A 25521-nucleotide genomic window follows, 5' to 3' on the forward strand; every position below is an offset into this window, starting at 1 on the left:
GCCAGGGTGATCTCAATATCCTTACTTCGTGATCCGCCCACCTCGGTCTTCCAAAGTGCTAGGATTACAGTCATGAACCACCATGCCCTGCCTTTATTTACTTTTTTTGAGACTGAGTCTCACTCTGTCACCGAGGCTGTAGTGCAGTGGCATGATCTCAGCTCACTGCAACCTCTGCCTCTTGGGTTCAAGTGATTCTCATGCCTCAGCCTCCCAAGTAGCTGGGATTACAGGCATGTGCCGCCGTTCCCAGATAATTTTTGTATTTTTTGTATAGACAGGGTTTCGCCATGTTAGCCAGGCTGGACTCAAACTCCTGGGCTCATATGATTTGCCCGCTTCAGCCTCCCAAAGTGCTGGGATTATAAGCAGGAGCCACCAAGTCCTGCCAACATCTTGAATTTAGTAAGATTACTGTGACTTCTAATCTTGTGGCTTTTGTCGGTCTAGTCCACAGGCAGTAAGGTTTGTTTTGGGAAAGGACTGTTATCATCTTTCTTTCAAAGCTAAACTATAAAATAAGTTCTTCCCAAAGTTAGTTCAAACTTTTATCAAAGCCAATTTAAAAGCCTATGTAAAAAAATAATTATTCTTGCTGAGCTGTATACAAATAATTTGGCCAAGTATCATAAAGCAAATGAATCCTATCATGATTTGTCTTGAGTAAAAATTAAAAACTGGAGAGAGAATAACTGTGTTTCAAAACCTATACTATACCTGTTGTTAGATTCTAGGTCTTGCCTAATGTTTTTCAATTTTTATTATTTTCTACAGTTTGGACCAAATTCTAATTTTTCTTGGCTACAAGTCTTCAAAATAATGTTCTCATTTTTTTCTTCTTTTTTTTCCCCATTTTTCCTAATTTGGAGTCACTGAAAACTAAGCTGTGCTTTCGTAAAGCCCTGTGAACTGAAGCTAGACAACTCGAACTTCAGAAGAAAATAACAGCAACCTATTTACATACATAAGCCACTTTCCTACCTGCCTCCAATGTAAGGATTTCAGAGTAATGTGGCCTATATCAATTTTCCAGGATTGTTCTTTTGCTTATTGTTGTTTTTCTCCCTTCCTCCCCCTATTTTATCTTTAAAGGATATGAAGCTTCACAACTTCTAAAAAATGAGCTTTCCTAATAACTCAGGACCTATCTGCCTAGGAATAACCCATTGTACCCATGAGAAATTAGAGGAAATCTGAGATCAGAGACTCATTTTCTTTTAACATGTTTTCTCCAAAGATTTTAAAAAAGAAAAGGGGGGAAATGTGAGAGAAAAATATCCTGCCCCCCCAAGGTTACTGAACTAAAGGGAAAAGTCAAGCTGGGAACTGCTTAGGGCAAACTTGCCTCCCATTCTATTCAAAGTCACCCCTTGCTCACTGAGATAAATGCAAATCTGATTGTCTCCTTTGGAGAGGCTAATTAGAAACTCAGAAGAATGCAACCATTTGTCTCTTATCTATGTATGACCCGGAAGTCCCCTCCAAGCTTCCAGTTGTCCTGCCTTTCCAGAATGAAACAATGTTCATCTTACCTATGTTGATTGATGTCTCATGTCTCCCTGAAATGTATAAAACCAAACTGTGCTCTGACCATCTTGGGCACATGTCATCAGGACCTCCTGAGACTGTGTCACGGGAGCAAGTCCTCAGCACTGGCAAACTTACTAAATTGACTGAGACCTGTCTTAGATTTTTGGGGTTCACAACATTCATTAGCTATTGGGGGTCTAGGACTGAAATTTAAAGGCATAGATGAAGTCTGACAGATCCAATCTGATGTTAACTTTGGGATTTTCTTTAGTTACCACTCAGTGCCCCAGTCCTCCTTAAAATACTTTACACCTCCAAGTCTTTTTCCTTCCATAAAAGCCAATTGTTTCTCTAACACTAGGTCTCTGCCTTGCTGTTACCTGCCTTCAGAACCTGGGGTCTTCCCTTCATAGTTAGGGTTCCCACCAGCTAAGAATTCACGGCCTGGATCTCTGCATATTGCCTATGCTCAGATTGCCTTGCTGCCATGTCCCACCTATCCTGTCACACTTTTCTCACCTGGAGTTTGATGGTTTCCTTGTCACTCTTCCTCCCTTGCAGTGTGCTCTACTTTGCTTCTCTGGGCAGACCCTTGCATAATCCTGGGTCTGCCCCTATATGCCTCTAGTAGGAGTTGATGCTGGGCTTGTATTTTGGATAGACCCAATGGTAAATAAACCCTGACTGTCATTCATTCATCTGTCAAATATCATTATGCTCTACCATGTATTAAGCATTATGCTAGGCACTTGAGATATAATGAGAGAAATAACCATGGAGGAACACAGGAACTCTCATACATTGCTGCAATTTGGCAGTATATTGTAAAGTTGAACAGGTACATGCCCTACTCTGCAGCTAATTAATGTCTCGGTATCTACCTATAAAGACTCTTGTTTCTCCTCATTTACTTCATTTGCTTTTCTTTCATTTACAACATATTATGTAGGACATACTTTTTTTTTTTTTTTTTTTTTTTTTTGAGATGGAGTCTCTCTCTGTCCCTCAGGCTGGAGTGCAGTGGAGCAATCTGGGCTTACTGTAACCGCTACCTCCTGAGCTCAAGTAAGGTGGAGGTTGCAGTGAGCCCAGATCCTCCTGCCTCAGCCTTCTGAGTAGCTGGGATTATAGGCACATGCCACCAAGCCCGGCTCCGGTACATGACTTCAGGTGATCCTGACCTCAGATGACCCACCCACCTCGGCCTCCCAAAGTGCTGGGATTACAGGCATGAGTCACTGTGTCTGGCTGAGCATGCAAAATTTGTAATCGGTAGACATTGTTTATAGGCATGTTTCATAATTATAAAATGAATTAAAAATCAGTCACATAAATATATGGGCTTTTTCAAAATAACCCAACATGGAAACCTTGATATCCTTCCCTAGATCTATGGCAGTCTTTGTAGTCTCCATGACATTGCACAGCTTGGGTTCAGAAATGACTCTCTAGAAAAACTGAAACACCACACCTCTGTAGATAATGATGTGCAGCTGGGGCTCAGCCACTTGTGTTAGTGAAGTTCCTTTCACACCAAAGATACTCACCCCACTTCCATATTATATCCAATCATAGTATTTCAACTTCTGTCAAAATTCCCAGTCTCCAACTATGGTGCAGCAGATCCTTTCAAATGTAAATACAATAGCATAAACTTATATACTGACAATTCTGTAACATACAGAATTTCATTCTGTATGATTCTATTTAATAGAGTTTCAAAATATTCATATGGATGACCATAAAAGAAAGTAAGATTAAAGATGTGCTCTTTATGAAAAGGTGTAACCCACATTTCAATCAGGGATACTTTATAATCTTTAAAAAACACACCATTGACCAGGTGCGGTGACTCATGCCTGTAATCCCAGCACTGTGGGAGGCTGAGGCAGGTGAATCACCTGAGGTCAGGAGTTCAAGACCAGCCTGGCCAACATGGTGAAACCCCATCTCCACTAAAAATACAAAAATGCTAGCCAGGCATGGTGGCAGGTGCCTGTAATTCCAGCTACCAGGGAGGCTGAGGCAGGAGAATCACTTGAACCTAGGAGGCGGAGGCTGCAGTGAGCCAAGATTGCACCACTGCACTCCAGGCTGGGTGACAGAGTGAGACTCTGTCTCAAAACAAACAATCAAACAGCCACACCATCGGCCAGGCGCAGTGGCTCATGCCTGTAATCCCAGTACTTTGGAGGTTGAGGTGGGCAGATCCCTTGAGGCCAGGAGTTTGAGATCAGCCTGGGCAACATGGTGAAACCCAGTCTCTACTGAAAATACAAAAATTAGCCGGGCATGATGGTGCATGCCTGTAACCCAGCTACTAGGGAGGCTGAGGCACAAGAATCACTTGAACCTGGGAAGTGGAGGTTGCACTGAGCCGAACTTGCGCCACTGCACTCCAGTCTGGGCAACAGAGATAGACGCTGTCTCAAAAAAACCCAAAAAACCAAAAACAAACAAACATACAAACAAAAAACACCATTGTTTTTATTTTTATTTTTTCCCTATTTACTACTTCCACAGGAAAATTGTTTGATTTTTGCTCTATTTTAAGCCAAACTTCATATGCAGGGTAAGGCTGAGGCAAAACAAGTGAGAAAGTGGTTGTAGATAAATGTAAACGAATGACCATGAGATGACCCTTTCAGAACTTGTGCAACACGTATGTCACCAGCCCCATTAGCCTGTGTTAGGAATAACGTTCAAAATCCTAAGGAAATTGAACACTCGAACAAAGGATTCTTAGCAAAGCAATTTTACTTCTGCGCACAGGGGTGCCTCCTTGGCCAGTTACATGAGAGCACACCTGAACAAAGGGGCAGGGGAACCTTTATTTCTGTTGCAAGTCCTGCCCCGTACGCTTTTTTTATTGGCCAGGGTCGGGTCGTACAATTTAAACTAATCTCGGTTGGCTAAGCATTTGATTTTTTTTAGATAGGGTGGGCACGTACAAGAAAGTGGAGAGGAAGGCTGGACGCGGTGGCTCACGCCTGTAATCCCAGCACTTTGGGAGGCCGAGGCGGGCAGAACACGAGGTCAGGAGATTGAGACCACCCTGGCTAACACGGTGAAACCTCGTCTCTACTAAAAATACAAAAAAATTAGTCGGGCGCCTGTAGTCCCAGCTACTAGGGAGGCGGAGGCAGGAGAATGACGTGAACCCAGGAGGCGGAGCTTGCAGCGAGCCAAGATTGCGCCACTGCACTCTAGCCTGGGGGACAGAGGGAGACTCCGTCTAAAAAAAAAAAAAAAAAAAAAAAAAAAAAAAAAAAGGAAGTGGAGAGGAAGGGGAAGGGTTGTCTGCAATGAGCTAGAAAGTTAGTCTTTTTTTTTTTTTTAAATAAGGAAAGGAATGCGAGGTGGTACTGATAATGCCTGGTACTGTAGCGTGCCTGGGCATTAAAGGAGAAAAACGGAAAAACGGAAAAACGGCGGGGGTACTATGAATTAAAGAATAAAAGATTGATCAGATTATTTGAAGAGAAACCGCATCATATCCCACACCTGTCACTACATAATGAGGTTATGCTTCATTTTTATATGTATATAATTATGAAAAAAGACTCTGTCTGTTTGCTTACCAGATGTTAGCATGTATTTTTCTACAACATTGTTTGGAGCGTTTCCTAGAGTACTGCTTGGCTTTTTGTTCAGGAGCCTTGCTGCAGCTGGGTCCTTCCTTGCAGCCTTCCCACCCTGCTGACTGACAGGATGCTACCTTTATTGCTGCTGATGTTTATCAGACTGATACTCTGCCTCTAATTGCAACTGGCATTGTCTCTCCAGCTCACAGGAGGGGAAACTGTTCTTGTAATTCTTCGTAATACAGTTGAGGCCCGGCTAGGACCTTGGCCAGGCTTGGGAGTCATAGGGTTTGCAAACTCAAATGTCAACAGAAGTCTGGCTGGTAATGGAAGCGTGAAGGCTGCATAGTTTAAGAAATGTGGGCATGCCATTTGGCTTTAATGTTAGGAAATAACAGCCAGTGGCCAGGCGCAGTGGCTCACGACTGTAACCCCAGCGTTTTGGGAGGCCGAGATGGGCGGATCACGAAGTCAGGAGATCGAGATCATCCTGGCTAACATGGTGAAACCCCGTCTCTACTAAAAATACAAAAAAATTAGCTGGGCATGGTGGCAGGCACCTGTAGTCCCAGCTACTCGGGAGGCTGAGGCAGGAGAATGGCGTGGACCCGGGAGGCGGAGCTTGCAGTGAGCTGAGATCACGCCACTGCACTCCAGCCTAGGCGACAGAGCGAGGCTCCGTCTCAAAAAAAAAAAAAAAAAAAAGAAAAGAAAAGAAAAGAAAAGAAATAACAGCCAGTATGAGTGAACTGACGACGACATACTGCATTTAAAGGGAGAAGCTGCTATTCAAAGCCAACTGATTGTTGATATATGGAAACAGGGCTTAGTTTTTCCAGTTACGATTTTGCAAAAGAACTCTGCAATTTATATTTTTTAAGGGAAATATTCTTATTTTTCAATACTGGCAACTAATTCTTTTTTTTTTTTTAAAGAAAGTGCTGTGGCCAAACCAAATATTTCTGTGGGCCTCCATAGAACTATGAAACACTAATCTATGACCATTGACTAACAACTGCTACCGGAAGTAGTTACTTGCTACTCCCAGGACTCACAGTCCAACTATCTTTTAGATTCCCTGCATAGCAACCGGCAGACCTCCATGTAGCATGAGCTGACACAGACAGACATACAGACATACACACACACACATGCACACGCACATTTACAGAGTGCATATGAATGAAAATCCCATTTATATCAGGAGAAAAACCCACATCCTCCCCAATATTGGTGTTGGGCTCCACAGACTACTCAAAGCCATCACTGTGGTTTGCCCATTTAGTCTCAAGTAACACTTTATGTGGAAGAGAAATGTTACATTATAGTCCATATGCCACTGCGTCAAATCCAATGCACTTTGCATTCAATCTTGCCTTCAGGATGAGGTAAAGAAAAGTTGCTACTGTATGCATGGCATAATCTCATCTCCTATCTCCTGGAAGCAAATGGTTAAACAAAAATTATAAACACAACTTCCAAGAACAAAATAGTAATTTTCAGTAGCAAGTAGCCTGAATTCAGATTTAAGATAAACTATGTCTAACTCTGTGGAGGTTCAGCCTGGCTAATAAATCAAATTTACATTAAGGTCAGGGCTCTGGTGGGACTATTCCCTTATATTCAGGAGTGTCTTCAAGAATAATGGAAAGCTACTTGAGTACAAGAGTAAAAGGGCCCACTCAATTTCCACATCAGAATGCGGGAAAACCACATGCCATATTCTCATTGGAAACTTCTCCTGCTTCAAAATTTAAAGTTCATTCTGCACCAGATAATCCATTTGATTAAAAGAAAACAACTTCTGAGGGCTAACCTGTTAAATAAGCCCACATCCAAAGTCATCTTAAAGGTGACTATCAGAGCAATAAAATGAAACAGTAACCCTGCTTGAAGGCAAAACAAATTTGAAGAACAATTCAGCCAGAGGTAGAGTCTTGAAGTCTAACACCAGCTGTAAGAAATGAACACTATGCTGGAGAAGAGGTGAGAGATCAGGCTACCTTGTTTTTGAGTAACCTAGCATGTAGATATCTATTGTGCAGGAAGATGTATCAGGTACCTTGGAATTACAGAACTAATGTCTATGGTGCTGAATTTATGCTAAGAAATATTCTGATAATTTAATTTTCCCATTAAGAAAAAGTTTGCTGGTCAACCTGAAAAATATGGTCTATTTGGCCAGATTGACAATATTTCTCATTATAAATTAACAAATAAGTTTTCTGGTTATATACTTTAGTTACACAAATATATTGTGTAATTGTATGATATGATTACATTGAGAGGGTCTAAATATTTTATATACTTAAGAAATATTAGGTAAGTTGATTTTAAATAGGCATTACAGATGGCAACATAAGTAAATTAAAATATCACCTTATACAGTCAACTCATTTTTAACTTTTCTTTATTCATGCACTGGAAACATGCATTTTTATTTTTATTTCTCAAACTATTTTTTAAGATTAAATGAATTCATTTTTCTTTACCTGCAGAAAATTGCCCTGTCATTAAGAAAGAGGAAGAAGAGAACACTCATATTTATTGACAGCATTGTTTGGCCTCTTATATATATAAAATGTCATTTATTTTGCACAATAACCCTGGGGAAAAAAGGTATTCTCCCTGTGTAATAAAAATAGGTTGAGGCATGTTTAGTAAAACATGCCCTAGGTCACACAGCTAGTAAATTGTGGGCTAAGATGACTCTTTTATTCTTTATGATTTTTTTATTGGCACATTGTAGCCTAAAATTCTAAAAGAACATATAATCTTGTGTGCTACTAAAAATTTTAATCTGCTCTACCCAAGGTTTAAGTAGTATTTGAATGAGCCAGATTGGGAGAGGCCGTGACTCAGTCAGAGTCAGACTGTCAGACTTGCAGTGTTGTTTGGAAAGATGGGTTTCTGAGATGCGCATTAGGCCAGGGACATCAGGCTTCAAGTAAATCTAAAATCTAGGAGATTATTCTTTGTAGGGTAGAGGAGACGCAAAGGACATAGGTTTAAAATAAGCATATTAACCTGTGCAGCTGCATTAATGAGTGCGGCTTCAAAAGAATCTCTTCAGTAACAGAGAAAATAATGACTATATTCATACATAGTAGGCCATTGACAGAAGACCCAGGAATAAGATCAGCCATATATTGTATCTGAAATATGGCTAAAGTGTAATTAAATATTTAATATTAAACTAAACTCATATAGAACTGGGAAATAAGACCATCAAATTCTCAGTTATTGTTATCTCTGAAAGTGGCTTTGTTTAGTTGATAATTTGACTAGGGTTAGAATTATAGGTCCAAATATATACATATATATATATACACACACACACGTATATATATATATATATATATACCGTATATATATATATATATATATATATATATATATATACACTTTTTTTCCAACTCAATATTTTGCTCAAGTGTTTAATTGCAAGTAGTATGCTGATGAAAAATCTGTTGTTAATCTTGTTCTTATTTTCCTGTAAGGAATCTTTCTTTTCTCTCTAGCAGTGTCAGAAATTTCCTTTTTATACTTAGTATTCTAAGATTTCACCATCTTGTACCTGTCTTTTTAATTTTGCATGGCTTTCACTGACCCATTATGTAGTTTCATGTCTTTATAAAGTTCTGGAAAATTTTAGGCTATTACCTCCTGAAATATTTTTTCCCTACATTCTGTCTAAATCTATTGAAAAGAGTTACGAGTGGGTAGGTAATTTGGTGACTGGTCTCTTGGTATGAGAGCATCTCATTCCTTTTGGTGTCACCAATTCTCTAATACACTGCCCTATTTCTCTGCAATAAGAACTGTATTCATCTTTCCTTTGTGGAGATAGATATTGCTATTTGTCTTATAGGAGGGAGAGGAGAGAGATACTCAGGGGCTGACCTGTCTGGGTTCTCCCTTTGTGGGGCTCCAACTAATCATCCTGCCAATGGCTTTTGGGTACCCCTCCTGCTCCTGGATTTCATTCCTTCCAGGCGTGGAGCATTTATCTTGTTGGTCTCACCTCCTGGGTTAGAACTTTTCTGAAGGAATCATGGGCTGTGACCTCTTTCTTTTCTGCTCATATTTTTCAAAGACTAATTATTATTTCTGTCGTTTTCACCATAGATATTTTTATTTATTTAAAAAATAAATTTTCCTTAATTTTTATGAATTTAGTGTAAGAGGAGGGATTATATTAAATGCTCACCATTTTAAAATTAGAAGTCTGTCTTCTATCTTTCCTTCACTAATATGTGTGTTTTGTACTTAGTCATATGGTCAAATACTTGTACATAAAATTATCTGAAAAAGCAAATGAAAAATTAACTAGATTTCCCCGTCGTATTTGCATGTATTCCTTACAAACTTACCTCAGTCTTCATTTTTTCCTGCTCTGTCCATTTTCATCCAAAACATACACATATACATCATACAGTCAAGATAAGCATGCATATATCACAGGTATCTTTAACACAGTTTGAAGATGTAACCCTTCATTAAATGATGATGGAGAAAAAATAAAGGTAAACTTAGAGGGTATAGTTGAGAGACAGTATTAAAACAATTGACTTTTAACCTTATTGGTCTTGATTATGGAACAGAGATGGGTGAATCGTTCATTTAGATTTTTTTTTTTTTTTTTGAGACAGAGTTTCACTCTTGTTGCCCAGGCTGGAGTGCAATGGCACAATCTCAGCTCACTGCAACCTCCGCCTCCCTGGTTCAAGTGATTATCTTACCTCAGCCTCCTGAGTAGCTGGGATTACAGGCATGCACCACCACGCCCAACTAATTTTTGTATTTTTAGTAGGGACGGGGTTTCACCATGTTGGCCAGGATGGTCTCAATCTCTTGACCTCGTGATCCACCTGCCTTGGCCTCCCAAAGTTCTGGGATTACAGGTGTGAGCCACTGCACCTGGCCTCATTTAGATTTTATGTTATTTATTTATAGCTTGATAATATTTTGTCTTTTAATTTTTATTATTGTCTAAATATTCAGATTTAGAGGAAATATTATTTTCTTCAGGCAAAATAACAGTCCTGAGAGGCAAAGTTTTTTTGCTTCTTTTTTTTGAGATGCAGTTTCACTCTTGTCATCCAGGCTGGAGTGCAACGGTGCGATCTCGGCTCACTGCAACCTTTACCTCCTGGATTCAAGCGATTCTCCTACCTAGGCTCCCAAGTAGCTGGGACTACAGGCACACACCACCATGCCTGGCTAATGTTTTGTTTTGTTTTTTTTTTTAGTAGAGATGGGGTTCGAGACCATGTTGGCCAGGCTGGTCTCGAACTCCTGACCTCAGGTGATCCACCCGCCTCAGCCTCCCAAAGTGCTGGGATTACAGGCATGAGCCGCCACACCCAGCCTGCTTTTAAAAATATTATTTTTAAGTTATTAGTAGAATGGACTTATTGAAATATGTATTTTTTAACTGAAGGTACTTGGCATAGTAAGTTTAACTATGTTTAACTCTGTTGATTTGCTTTTACATTTTGTGCAATCATAAGTGTCCTTCAGTTCTTAAATATCCACAGCAAATCAAATATTAACTCTGTGCATGTTTTTGAGTTTTTATTAAGTAGTGTTTATATCATTGTACCTATTCTTATAGCTATTGCCTACATCCAAGTAGGCATTTTGTTTAGTTCTTTTTCTTTAGTCTCTCGAAATAATGAAAAGTGAAAATTTCTATCATTTGATTGACTGTTTTAAGTCTTTAAGTATATTACACTTTGGGCAAAATGCCTACTACTGATAAAGACAGCAAAGTTTTTACAGATGTATAATTAAAAACTGACAATGCAGTATAATGGAGAACACACAGAAAGTTCCCTTTGTAGTAGTAAAAATGTTGGTATGCATAGAGGTGGGAACTTCAATGTGCTAGTGTGGAGGGAGTGGTGTGGAAGTGGTATGCCATAAGTGTGGAAAGGTAGGTAGGAACCGGATCTTTCCTGGCCTTATAGGTTATAATAAGGATATTAGATCTTTTTCTCAAGCCAATAAGGAATTTTAAAATAACTTTAAAGAGGGGAATGGCATGATTAGTCTATAGTTTTAAAAAGTCACTCTGCCTTCATTATGGGAAATACATTGGGGGCAGAGGGTATACAAATGCACATAGGGAGGAGGATGTGCATTGAAACATATACATTTGTGGGCACAAAATAAATATTTTGGGATATTGGCAGATTGGCTAACTCTATTCTCTTCAGACTTCTTTTCAATATTTTCTGAAACGTCACCATGGACAAATAATAATTAATAATTAATAATTCATTAATTAATCATTAATACAGGAGGTTCCAAGATGGCCGAATAGGAACAGCTCCAGACTGCAGCTCCCAGAAGATGGGTTATTTCTGCATTTTCAACTGAGGTACCAGGTTCATCTCAATGGGGCTTGTCAGACAGCGGGTGCAGCCCAGGGTGCAGGGCGGGGCATCGCCTCACCCAGGAAGCGCAAGGGGTCAGGGAATTCCCCTTCCTAGCAAAGAGAAGCCATGACAGACAGTACCTGGAAAATCAGGACACTCCCACCCTAATACTGTGCTTTTCCAATGGCCTTGGCAAACAGCACACCAGGAGATTATATCCTGCACCTGGCTTGGAGGGTCCCTTGCTCACTGCTAGCACAGCAGTCTGAGATCAAACTGCAAGGCGGCAGCAAGGCTGGGGGAGGGGCGTCCGCCATTGCTGAAGCTTGAGTAGGTAAACAAAGCGGCCGGGAAGCTCGAACTGGGTGGAGCCTACCACAGCTCAAGGAGGCCTGCCTGCCTCTGTATACTCTACCTCTGCGGGCAGGGCATAGCTGAACAAAAGGCAGCAGAAACTTCTGCAGACTTAAATGTCCCTATCTGACAGTTTTGAAGAGAGTAGTGCTTCTCCCAGCATGGAGTTTGAGATCTGAGAATGGACAGACTGCCTCCTCAAATGGGTCCCCGACCTCCAAGTAGCCTAACTGGGAGACTCCTCCCAGTATGGGCTGACTGACACCTCATACAGCCAGGTATCCCTCTGAGATGAAGCTTCCAGAGGAAGGATCAGGCAGCAACATTTGCCATTCTGCAATATTTGCTGTTCTGCAGCCTCTGCTGGGATACCCAGGCAAACAGGGTCTGGAATGGACCTCCAGCAAATTCCAACAGACCTGCAGCTGAGGGTCCTGACTGTTAGAAGGAAAACTAACAAACAGAAAGGACATCCACACCAAAACCCCATCTGTAGGTCACCATGATCAAAGACCAAAGGTAGATAAAGCCACAAAGATGGGGAGAAACCAGAGCAGAAAAGCTGAAAATTCTAAAAATCAGAGCACCTCTTCTCCAAAGGAATGCAGCTCCTCACCAGCAATAGAATAAAACTGGATGGAGAATGACTTTGACGAGTTGAAAGAAGACGGCTTCAGACGATTGGTAATAACAAACTTCTCCAAGCTACAGGAGGATGTTCAAACCCATTGCAAAGAAGCTAAAAACCTTGAAAAAAGACTAGACAAATGGCTAACTAGAATAAACAGTGTAGAGAAGTCCTTAAAGGACCTGATGGAGCTGAAAACCATGGCACGAGAAGTATGTGACGCATGCACAAGCTTCAGTAGCCGATTCGATCAACTGGAAGAAGGGGTATCAGTGATTGAAGATCAAATGAATGAAATGCAGTGAGAAGAGAAGTTTAGAGAAAAAAGAGTAAAAAGAAATGAACAAAGCCTCCAAGAAATATGGGATTATGTGAAAAGACCAAATCTACGTCTGAATGGTGTACCTGAAAGTGACGGGGAGAATGGAACCAAGTTGGAAAACACTCTGCAGGATATTATCCAGGAGAATTTCCCCAACCTAGCAAGGCAAGCCAACATTCAAATTCAGGAAATACAGAGAATGTCACAGAGATACTCCTCAAGAAGAGCAACTCCAAGACACATAATTGTCAGATTCACCAAAATAGAAATGAAGGAAAAAATGTTAAGGGCAGGCAGAGAGAAAGATTGGGTTACCCACAAAGGGAAGCCCATCAGACTAACAGCGGATCTCTCAGCAGAATCTCTATAAGCCAGAAGAGAGTGGGGGCCAATATTCAACATTCTTAAAGAAAAGAATTTTCAGCCTAGAATTTCATATCCAGCCAAACTAAGCTTCGTAAGTGGAATGGCACAATCTCATGCGCCAAACAAATGCTGACAGATTTTGTCACCACCAGGCCTGCCTTGCAAGAGCTCCTGCAGGAAGCACTAAACATGGAAAGGAACAACTGGTACCAGTCACTGCAAAAACATGCCAAATTGTAAAGACCATTGAGGCTAGGAAGAAACTGCATCAACTAACAAGCAAAATAACCAGCTAACATCATGACAGGATCCAATTCACACATAACAATATTAACCTTAAATGTAAATGGGCTAAATGCTCCAATGAAAAGACACAGACTGGCAAATTGGATAAAGAGTCAAGACCCATCAGTGTTCTGTATTCAGTAAACCCATCTCACATGCAGAGACACACATAGGCTCAAAATAAAAGGATGGAGGAAGATCTGCCAAGCAAATGGAAAACAAAAAAAGGCAGGGGTTGCAATCCTAGTCTCTGATAAAACAGACTTTAAACCAACAAAGATCAAAAGAGACAAAGAAGGCCATTACGTATTGGTAAAGGGATCAATTCAACAAGAAGAGCTAACTATCCTAAATATATATGCACCCAATATAGGAGCACCCAGATTCACAAAGCAAGTCCTTAGAGAACTACAAAGAGACTTAGACTCCCACACAATAATAAAGGGAGACTTTAACACTCCACTGTCAACATTAGACAGATCGAGACAGAAAGTTAACAAGGATATCCAGGAATTGAACTCAGCTCTGCACCAAGCAGACCTAATAGACATCTACAGAATTCTCCACCCCAAATCAACAGAATATACATTCTTCTCAGCACCACATCCCACTTATTCCAAAACTGATCACATAGTTGGAAGTAAAGCACTCCTTAGCAAATGTAAAAGAACAGAAATTATAACAAACTGTCTCTCAGACCACAGTTCAATCAAACTAGAACTCAGGATTAAGAAACTCACTCAAAACCGCTCAACTGCACGGAAACTGAACAACCTGCTCCTGAATGACTACTGGGTACATAACGAAATGAAGGCAGAAATAAAGATGTTCTTTGAAACCAGTGAGAACAAAGACACAACATACCAGAATCTCTGGGACACATTTAAAGCAGTGTGTAGAGGGAAATTTATAGCACTAAATGCCCATAAGAGAAAGCAGGAAAGATCCAAAATTGACACCCTAACATCACAGTTAAAAGAACTAGAAAAGCAAGAGCAAACATATTCAAAAGTTAGCAGAAGGCAAGAAATAACTAAGATCAGAGCAGAACTGAAGGAGCTAGAGACACAAAAAAACCCTTCAAAAAATCAATGAATCCAGGAGCTGGTTTTTTGAGAAGATCAACAAAATTGATAGACTGCTAGTAAGATTAATAAAGAAGAAAGGGGAGAAGAATCAAATAGATGCAATAAAAAATGAGAAAGAGGATATCACCACCAATCCCACAGAAATACAAACTACCATCAGAGAATACTATAAACACCTCTATGCAAATAAACTAGAAAATCTGGAAGAAATGTATAAGTTCCTGGACACATACGCCCTCCCAAGACTAAACCAGTAACAAGTTGAATCCCTGAATACACCAATAAAAGGCTCTGAAATTGAGGCAATAATTAATAGCTTACCAACCAAGAAAAATCCAGGACCACATGGATTCACAGCCAAATTCTACCAGAGGTACAAAGAGGAGATGGTACTATTCCTTCTGAAACTTTCCCAATCAATAGAAAAAGAGGGAATCCTCCCTAATTCATTTTATGAGGCCAACATCATCCTGATACCAAAGCCTGGCAGAGACACAACAAAAAAAGAGAATTTTAGACCAATATCCCTGATGAACATCGATGCAAAAATCCTCAATAAAATACTGGCAAACCCAATCCAGCAGCACATCAAAAAGCTTATCCACCATGATCAAGTGGGCTTCATCCCTGGGATGCAAGGCTGGTTCAACATAAGCAAATCAATAAATGTAATCCATCATATTAACAGAACCAAAGACAACAACCACATGATTATCTCAATAGATGCAGAAAAGGCCTTTGACAAAATTCAACAGCCCTTCATGCTAAAAACTCTCAATAAACTAGGTATTGATGACAAGTATCTCAAAATAATAAGAGCTATTTATGACAAATCCACAGCCACTATCACACTGAATGGGCAAAAACTGGAAGCATTCCCTTTGAAAATCAGCACAAGACAGGGATGCCTCCCTCACCACTCCTATTAAACATATCATTGGAAGTTCTGGCCAGGGCAATCAGGCAAGAGAAAGAAATAAAGAGTATTCAATTAGACAAAGAGGAAGTCAAATTGTCCCTGTTTGCAGATGACATGATCATATATTTAGAAAACCCCATCATCTCAGCCCAAAATCTCTTTAAGCGATAAGCAACTTCAGCAAATTCTCGGGTTACAAATTCAATGTGCAAAAATCACAAGGATTCCTATACACCAATAATAGACAAACAGAGAGGCAAGTCATGAGTGAACTCCCATTCACAATTGCTTCAAAGACAATAAAATACCAAGGAATCCAACTTACAAGGGATGTGAAGGACCTCTTCAAGGAGAACTACAAACCACTGTTCAACGAAATAAAAGAGGACACAAACAAATGGAAGAAAATTCCATGCTCATGGATAGGAAGAATCAATATTTTGAAAATGGCCATACTGCCCAAGGTAATTTATAGATTCAATGCCATCCCCATCAAGCTACCAATGACTTTCTTCACAGAATTGGAAAAACCTACTTTAAAGTTCATGTGGAACCAAAAAAGAGCCCACATTGCCAAGTCAGTCCTAAGCCAAAAGAACAAAGCTGGAGGCATCATACTACCTGACTTCAAACTATACTACAAGGCTACAGTAACCAAAACAGCATGGTACTGGTACCAAAACAGAGATATAGACCAATGGAACAGAATAGAGCCCCCGGAAATAATACCACACATCTAGAACCATCTGATCTTTGACAAACCTGACAAAAACAAGAAATGGGGAAGGGATTCCCTATTTAATAAATGGTGCTGGGAAAACTGGCTAGCCATATGTAGAAAGCTGAAACTGGATCCCTTCCTTATACTTTATACAAAAATTAATTCAAGATGGATTAAAGACTTAAATGTTAGACCTAAAACCATAAAAACCCTAGAAGAAAACCTAGGCAATACCATTCAGGACATAGGCATGGGCAATGACTTCATGATTAAAGCACCAAAAGCAAGGGCAACAAAAGCCAAAATTGACAAATGGGATCTAATTAAACTAAAGGGCTTCTGCACAGCAAAAGAAACTACCATCAGAGTGAACAGGCAACCTACAGAATGGGAGGAAATTTTTGCAATCTACCCATCTGACAAAGGGCTAATATCCAGAATCTACAAAGAACTTAAACAAATTTACAAGAAAAAAAACAACTCCATCAAAAAATGGGCAAAGGATATGAACAGACAATTCTCAAAAGAAGACATTTATGCAGCCAACGGACACATGAAAAAGTGCTCATCGTCACTGGCCATCAGAGAAATGGAAATCAAAACCACAATGAGATACCATCTCACACCAGTTAGAACAGCGATCATTAAAAAGTCAAGAAACAAGAGGTGCTGGAGAGGATGTGGAGAAATAGGAATGCTTTTACACTATTGGTGGGAGTGTAAACTAGTTCAGTCATTGTGGAAGACAGTGTGGTGATTCCTCAGGGATCTAGAACTAGAAATACCATTTGACCCAGCCATCCCATTACTGGGCATATACGTAAAGGAATATAAATCATGCTGCTATAAGGACACATGCACAAGTTTGTTTATTATGGCACTATTCACAATAGCAAAGACTTGGAACCAACCCAAATGTCCATCAATGATAGACTGGATTAAGAAAATGTGGCACATATACAGCATGGAATACTATGCAGCCATAAAAAAGGATGAGTTCATGTCCTTTGTAGGTACACGGATGAAGCTGGAAACCATCATTCTGAGCAAACTATCGCAAGGAGAGAAAACCAAACACCGCATGTTCTCACTCATAGGTGGGAATTGAACAATGAGAACAGCTGGACACAGGGCGGGGAGCATCACACATTGGGGCCTGTCGTGGGGTTGGGGAAGCAGGGAGGGATAGCATTAGGAGAGATACCTAATGTAAACGATGAATTAACAGGTGCAGCACACCAACATGGCACTTGTATACATATGTAACAACCTGCCCGTTGTGCAAATGTACCCTAGAACTTAAAGTATAAAAAAAAAAAAAAGAACAAGAACTCCAATAACAGGCCTTGAAAAACTAAGCGTGAAATCCAGGTTGTGGAACGTTTGACCCCAGGAAGAATGTATTTCATCTGTGTGTAGTTCATCTGTATTCTTGTGGTAATCAAGCAGACACCAGCTAGACCACTAGTTGGCCCACTGCTCAAGACAGTCGTCAAGACCAGACATACTACCGCACACGTAGTCAACTCCTGTGCTTCCCATAAAAACCGTCTAGCTAGCCTGAGAAACTTGAGATGATCTTTGTGACATGAGTCCACCATCTCCTCTGGTTGTCAACTCCTGAATAAACCCATTTTTCTCCCTCAAAAAACATTAATAATTATTAATAATAAATTAACAATAAATCATTAACAATAATTAATAATTAATAATAATTAATAATAAAAATTAATAAAAATAAAATAAAATAAAAGTATTAAAAACTCTAATAAAATATAATACAATATAATATATAATACAATACAACATAATATGTGTTATGGCTAAGGAAATTTCAGATTAGGAAGGACACCTAATTTAGACTAAAAGAGAACAGCTTCCTAGAGAAGGTGAAAGATGAGTTAAGTGCTGATAGCTGGATAGTTCAGTCAGACCAAGAAAGAATGGCTTTTCTGAATCAAAGAAGAACATTTATGTGGATATCCTGATAAAACGGAAAACAGATCAGAGTACAAAGTATACCATTACCAGGGATGTGGCTGAAGAGATAGGCCGACAAGATATTAGATATTATGCTAAAAATCCAGGATTTATCCTGAAATGGTAAATGGTAATTGAAAGATTTTTAGCAAGACAGTGACATGATGAAACTGGTATTTCAAAATGAACATGCTAGCAAGAGGTGGGATAATGTACTGGATGAGAATAAGACGGGAAGCAGAGAGGCCCATTAGGAATTTGATTCATTTATTCACTAATGGTGATACCAAATGCTTAGTATGTAACAACTATTGAGCCAGGTGTTAGGGACACAGTGGTCAACAAAAAAGAGGGCCACTGCTTTCCTTCAAAGGTTTAAAGTCTAGCACATCAATAAAATAATACAGGGAGGTAATCCAGCGCTTGACCATTCTCTCCCTTTAAAAATTATGTGTGTTACTTTATTATAATTTAAAAATACAGATGAATAAGAAGAATGTGAACAAAATCAGACATCCACTCAACCTCTATGGAATGTTAACATTTTATTGTGTGTACATACTTCTAGATGTTTAAAAATATAGTATGTGTATATATTGTATATCATACAATTATATGAATAAATCAGACTGTTCTCAATTGGTTTATGATCTAGTTTCCTCTTAACAACACATGGTGATCTTTCCATAACCATAAATCTATTTATCCATATTATTTTTTATGAGGGGATGATGTTCTACTGCATTTTCGGACATTTTAGGTAGGACTATTCAAAACAATGTTAGAATGAATATTCTTATAGGCAAGTTTTAAATTTCATTTCATTAGATTAAATTCTTAGAAGTGGAATAAAAGAAAATGCACATTTTAAAGGCCTTTGATAATGCCCCAAACCCTCCTTTATAATCTTTTCTTCTGGCTTCCATACCATACTTTGTTAGGTTTTTTTTTTTTTTTTAACTACATCAGCAACTCATACACAGTCTTCTTCATTAGTTCATTGCTGCACATTGAAATCATCTGGGGATTTTTAAAAATTACTGATGCCTGGCTCCCACCCTTAGACATACCAATTTCATTGGTATGTGGTACAATCTGGGAATTGGAATTTTTAGAAGTGCCTCAAGTGATTCTTACTTGCAGCAAAAGATAGAAACCACTGTATTCTTTTATTTTCCCTGTTTACTACAGAAATTTAAGTTCCATCCTAGATCTGCATCTTACCTTTTTTCACATGCTCTTCATATGTAATCATAATTTCACCTCTTCCACTCTAAACTCTATGAATATAATTAAAAACTCGTATCTTGCACTTTTCCTGAGGTCCAGTTCCACTTTGTTCATTGCCTATAGGAAAGTGTGCACTAATGCTAAATATAGAATTAGCTCTCAAACTTGGTGTATCTCAAACTGAATTAAGAGGTCTCCCTTACTCTTGATAAACAGAAAACTAAACACATGTTTAAAAAAACAGCAACACCTGTGGGGAAAGATATTTTCTACCTTTCAGTTGGTTGCAAAGCTCTTGTCTTGATTCTTTCTCTAAAACATATTTTAAATCAGTTTCCCCTACCCTTTCTATTACCATTACCACAACCTCTACCCTCAGAGTAGTACCACTGTGACAATACTTATCTGAATATCTGTCTTGGGAGCACTGGCCTGTCAGAGTAGTTTGCCTGCAATCTCACTTGCATGAAGATAGCACCTAGTGAATACCAGTAGATATGACATTAGGGACTGAAATCAAGGTGGAATTAAAAATTTCAACACATGTAAGTAAGAGTGTGTGTGTGTGGGAGGAAGTGGGATAATGTAGGAGAAGGGACAGTGATCATTTCCAACTACTTGAAGATGGCCACTCTTGGGCCAGGAACTCAGCCCAGGGTTGGAGAATGTTGAGATACATCGGGCTCATCCCGATTGATTTCAGGCTGCAAAGGTCACTTTGAGAATTAATTGACCCAATAATGGAGGAACAACTATAACGTTCCAGGAGAAAGAAGGCTAAAAAGCAAAACTATTTTATTTGTGTTATAAATATCTGAATTTTTAAAAAATTTGAACTCCTTACCCAGGCAAGTCTGCCATAATTTCAACCAAGGAATACTGACAAATCTAGAAATTGAGAGATTTATAAGCTACTGAATCTAAAATATGGAAGCAGCTAAGCTGACATGACTGGGGAAAGTGAGGATCCTTTAATCTCTGACTGTGAGGGTGACTGTCCTTGACATGCTGTGAAGAGTAGCTATAAACCATCACTTCTTGTTTCTCAGATCTCAAACTATTGATCCACTCAGCTAAAATAAAAGCTCCATTGAGCAGAGGCCTTGATTGTACAATTAATTATTCTCCAGCAGCTCTGAGAGTGTGAGATATATGGTAGCCATACAAAAAATATTGAGTTAATAATTTCTCATACTGGGGCCAAAACCCCTGTGACCATAGTAGCAATGTAGTAGGGTGTTCAAGTGTGTTACTTCTTTAGAATTTTAGAAATGTAATTTAAGAATTTTTTTTTTTTTTTTTTTTGAGACTGAATCTCACTTTGTTTCCCAGGCTGGAGTGCGGTGGCTCGATTCTGGCTCACTGCAACCTCCGTCTCCTGGGTTCAAGTGATTTGCCTGCCTCAGCCTCCCGAGTAGTTGGGATTACAGGCGTGCGCCACCATGCCCAGCTAATTTTGTATATTTAGTAGAGATGGGGTTTCACATGTTAGCCAGGCTGATCTCTAACTGCTGACCTCTGGTGATCTGCCCGCCTCAGTCTCCCAAAGTGCTGGGATTAACAGGCGTGAGCCACCACTCCTGGCCTAAGATCATTTTAATAAGATTTAAGAGACACTAATTTCTGTCTTTCAAGAGAGGTACTAATTTCCATCTAAGCAGGCCCACCAGAAAGTAGATATGGAAAAACAGGACAAGCATATAATATTTGTAAAGCAAAGCATTTTATTTCTAGAGGAAGATTTGAAATCCATGGAAGTTAGGAGATAACACAGTTGTTTTAGTTATTTGTCACACTTTAAAGTCATTGTAGCAGTTAGGAAATAGTGAGATCTTGGCAAACAAAATGTGGACATCTAGGAGAAGCCAAAGAGTTGGCAACACTTTTTAAGCATCTCTGGCAGCTCCTGTCTAGTTGGACTAAAGGAATACCATATCCTATTATAAATCACATTTCCCTGGAACTCAGCTTAAAGGGCAAACTTTAGAAGGAAAACCTCCATCATCCTCATTCAATACTTCAGCTACTGTTTCTTATCCGCATCTAAACAAAGGCCATTAAATAGAGTTTCAGGGAAAGGCAGAGCTGCCAGGAATGATGCAGAGATGGCCTTTTTCTTTAGTAAACCAGAAGCTTAAATGGGCATGACTCCATAAGATTTTTTGTTTTAGTAATTAGCAAATAGAGTTTCAAATTCAAATTGACTTGAAGCAAGCAGAAGTTTTAAATTAATTAAATTTTCCAGGAAAGGGAAGCCTAGCCCTAGGAACAGAGATTACTCAACTTGTAATGCATTCCTCAGGCCTAAGTATCCACACCTATAAAGAATGACTTGGACTTGCAAAGGTAATAGAGCTACTTAAGAAGAATCTCTCCAACATCCCTCTGAGAAGCAGCCCAGAAAGATACAAGGCAAGGGAAATCTTTCCAGGGAGAAGAACTCAAGGTGCTGAATGGCTTTTAAAGGACATTTCTGAGCCGGGTGTGTTGGCTCATGCCTGTAATCCTAGCACTTTGAGAGGTCAAAGCGGGTGGATAGCTTGAGTCCAGTGGTTTGAGACCAGACTGGTGAGCATGGGGAAATCCCACCTCTACAAAAAATACAAAAATTAGCTGGGTGTAGTGGCACACACCTGTAGTCCTAGCTACTTGGGGGCTGAGGCTGGAGGATCGCTTGATTCTAGGAGGTTGAGGGTGCAGTGACCTGAGGTTGTGCCACTGCACTTCAGCCTTGGCAGTAGAGTGAGACCTTGTCTCAACAAAACAAAACAAAACAAAACAAACAAAACAAAACAAAACAAAACAGCAAAGACACTTTCTCTATTTCCAAGGGAGCAAGTCAAGAACATTTTATACTGCCTGCTCCTAACAAGTGATTATTCTCAAGCCCCTTTCTTTCCCCTAAATGAGATAATTTTATTAAGGTAATTCTGTCTGTGGTGCACCTTTATTTGCCCCTCTGAATCCTTCTCCACGCTCCACCTTCCTCTACCTGCAATGCTATCCTGGGAGGCTGACCTGCATGAAAAACCTTAAAGGATTCTTACCTCCTCTGGCTTCCAGTTGGGTTCAGCCAATGGCACAGCAGTAGATAAGAAGGAGGTGGGGCGGGCGCGGTGGCTCAAGCCTGTAATCCCAGCACTTTGGGAGGCCAAGGCGGGCGGATCACGAGGTCAGGAGATCGAGACCATCCTGGCTAACATGGTGAAACCCCGTCTCTACTAAAAATACAAAAAAAAAATTAGCCGGGCGTGGTGGCGGGCGCCTGTAGTCCCAGCTACTAGGGAGGCTGAGGCACTAGAATGGAGTGAACCCGGGAGGCAGAGCTTGCAGTGAGCCGAGATCGCGCCACTGCACTCCAGCCTGGGCGACAGAGCGAGACTCTATCTCCAAAAAAAAAAAAAAAAAAAAAAAAAGAAGGAGGTGGGAGGCTAGGAGCTAGGATAAGGGTACTTATCTTAAGCCTCCGTTCCTGTGTCCCTCAGCTGAAGGTCACTGCTCATTTCAGGCCAAATGGCTTCATGGGACTCTCCCTCCTTTAGTAACCGCTGGCCGAGGGGCAATAGCTCAGCTACTACAAAACCCCGAGCTCTTGAATTATAAATCAGAATTACCCTACGTCCACACTTAATTTCCTTCTTGAAATCTACTCTCTACATAGACAAGTGAATTTTCCCCTCCCTGACCAAATCAGGCCTCCAAATATAAGCTTTTGTAGCTTGCTTAAATTCTTGATTAATTTTTACTATTAAATGATTAGTTTGAATTCTCCCTTCCTCTCACAGAATGTAAGTTTCACGAGAGCAGAAAGTGCATTAGTGTTGTTCTCAGCTGTTTGCTCAAGGTTTAAATAAAAACTTAAACATAGAAACAAAAATTTTTCTTTTTAGTTGTGCTTTCTATTTTTTCTTGGGACCCTGATAGACAGAACAGTGAAATTCATCATCTAACTGAAGATTGCAGTATTTTGGAACTTGGCATTAAAAGCCTGACTCAATTACACTGAAGGAGATTGTACATCTCACAGAAAGCTTGGACTTGAGCACTGACCTCCAGACACTACCTGAGAAGGTCTAGTAGACATGATTTTCCATTGGAGAGGTGGTGGTGTTTTTGATGGCATGTAGATTGTGACTGGCAGGGGCATTTTTGGAATGTAAGCATGTCTTTGAGTATGTGCTAGGTAAAATTGAAGAGTAGATTGTAGTGAGCCTCCACTGTGGTTCTGCTTTATGCCAATAATTTTTCTTTTAATTTTCTATTCATAAAATAATCTGCATTAGGACTTTTGCCAATTCAGCAGAATTATGTCATTAATACAAAGGATTATAATAGAACATAAATTGGCTGGCCCATGCATGAAATCCAAAATAATATGAGTATTCACAATTTTGACAAAGCATTCACCTTAAGAAGAGGCAAACAAGCAGGGAACTAATACAGATACAGTTAGGTTTGGTAGAACACTGATACTTGTGATATTTATGACATAATCATGGTTCTTTTTGTCATAATATGGTATTTTATATAGCTATTTACTTAAGTGACTATATGCATATGAACTACTAACATTTTTCACATTTTCTCTGCCCATATTTGGGCTGCTCAATAACAGATAGAAATGTTATAGTTAAAAAGAAAATTATTGGCCAGGTGCGGTGGCTCATGCCTGTAATCCCAGCACTTTGGGAGGCCGAGGCGGGCGGATCACGAGGTCAGGAGATTGAGACCATCCTGGCTAACACTGTGAAGCCCCGTCTTACTAAAAATCCAAAAAATTAGCCAGGCGTGGAAGGACATGCCTGTAATCCCAGCTACTTGGGAAGCTGAGGCAGGAGAATCGCTTGAACCTGGGAGGCGGAGGTTGCAGTGAGCCAAGATCGCACCACTGCACTCCAGCCTGGATGACAGAGTGAGACTCCGTCTCAAATTAAAAAAAAAATAAAAAAGAAAATTATTATCTGGCTGGGTGTAGTGGCTCAACCTGTAATCCCAGAACTTTGGGGGCTGAAGGGGTGGATCACCTGAGGTCGGGAGTTTGAGACAAGCCTGACCAACATGGTGAAACCCCGTCTCTACTAAAAATACAAAAAAATTACTGGGCGTGGTGGCAGGTGCCTGTAATCCCATCTATTCGGGCAGCTGAGGCAGGAGAATCACTTGAACCTGGGAGGCAGGGGTTACCATAAGCTGAGATTGCGCCATTGCACTCCAGCCTGGGTGACAAGAGCGAAACTCCATCTCAACAACAACAAAAAAAAAAAAAAAAGAAAGAAGAAAAAAAGAAAATTGTTACCTATTCTCCTTAGATAACCCTAATCTTAATCTAGTAATACTGTATCCTTTTTGAGAAGATTTCAGCTGTATCCTTTTTGAGAAGATTCAGCTAAAGGTTAATTCAGCTAAAGGTTAACTTCAGCTAAAGGTTAATTGGTTAACGTGACATATTACGCTTAAAAATCCCTAAATGAGTCGTTTTAAAAACCTGTCTTTCCCTCTAATAGCCAGAGTTTCTTTGTGCTATTGTGTTACCTTCTGATTCATCCGAGTGATGCTTGAGAATGCCAGGAAAACAATAAAAACATTTCTTGCCACTGAGCCCTACCTTTGCCTGGAACTCAGTGAACATCCTCCATGAGGTGGCAAAATTGTTCTGGTATTAGTTTGTAGTAAAATTTCCTGAATTAGGAGTGGAAAGGAAGACAATATTATGTAAAACTTTCCGTGGGTTCACAAAAATGAAGTGTTATCTTGTGTTCAGATCCCAGACTTAGAGAAAATGATTGTGTTTTCTTTTTCTTTTCTTTTTTTTTTTTTTTGAGACAGAGTTTTGTTCTTGTTGCCCAGGCTGGAGTGCAATGGCGCAATCTCGGCTCACCGCAACTTCCGCCTCCCAGGTTTAAGCGATTCTCCTGCCTCAGCCCCCTGAGTAGCTGGGATTACAGGTGTGAGCCACCATGCCCGGTTAATTTTGTATTTTTAGTAGAGACGGGGTTTCTCTACGTTGGTCAGGCTGGTCTCGAACTCCCAACCTCGGGTGATCCGCCCGCCTCGGCCTCCCAAAGTGCTGGGATTACAGGCATAAGCCACCATGCCCTGCCAATAAAATGATTTTGAACATATAGTTCTAT

General features: G+C 39.9%; 1 annotated feature.

Moving 5' to 3' along the window:
• Positions 1155 to 1913: an enhancer, noted in NCBI's record as "OCT4-NANOG-H3K27ac-H3K4me1 hESC enhancer chr4:69275704-69276462 (GRCh37/hg19 assembly coordinates)". NCBI's record gives its function as "activates a minimal SCP1, AML or CMV promoter by ChIP-STARR-seq in naive H9 embryonic stem cells {active_cell/tissue: H9 hESC(naive)}" and the evidence as "EXISTENCE:reporter gene assay evidence [ECO:0000049][PMID:30033119]".

Source organism: Homo sapiens, chromosome 4 (genome assembly GCF_000001405.40).
Source record: "Homo sapiens chromosome 4, GRCh38.p14 Primary Assembly".
Taxonomy (NCBI): Eukaryota; Metazoa; Chordata; class Mammalia; order Primates; family Hominidae; genus Homo; species Homo sapiens.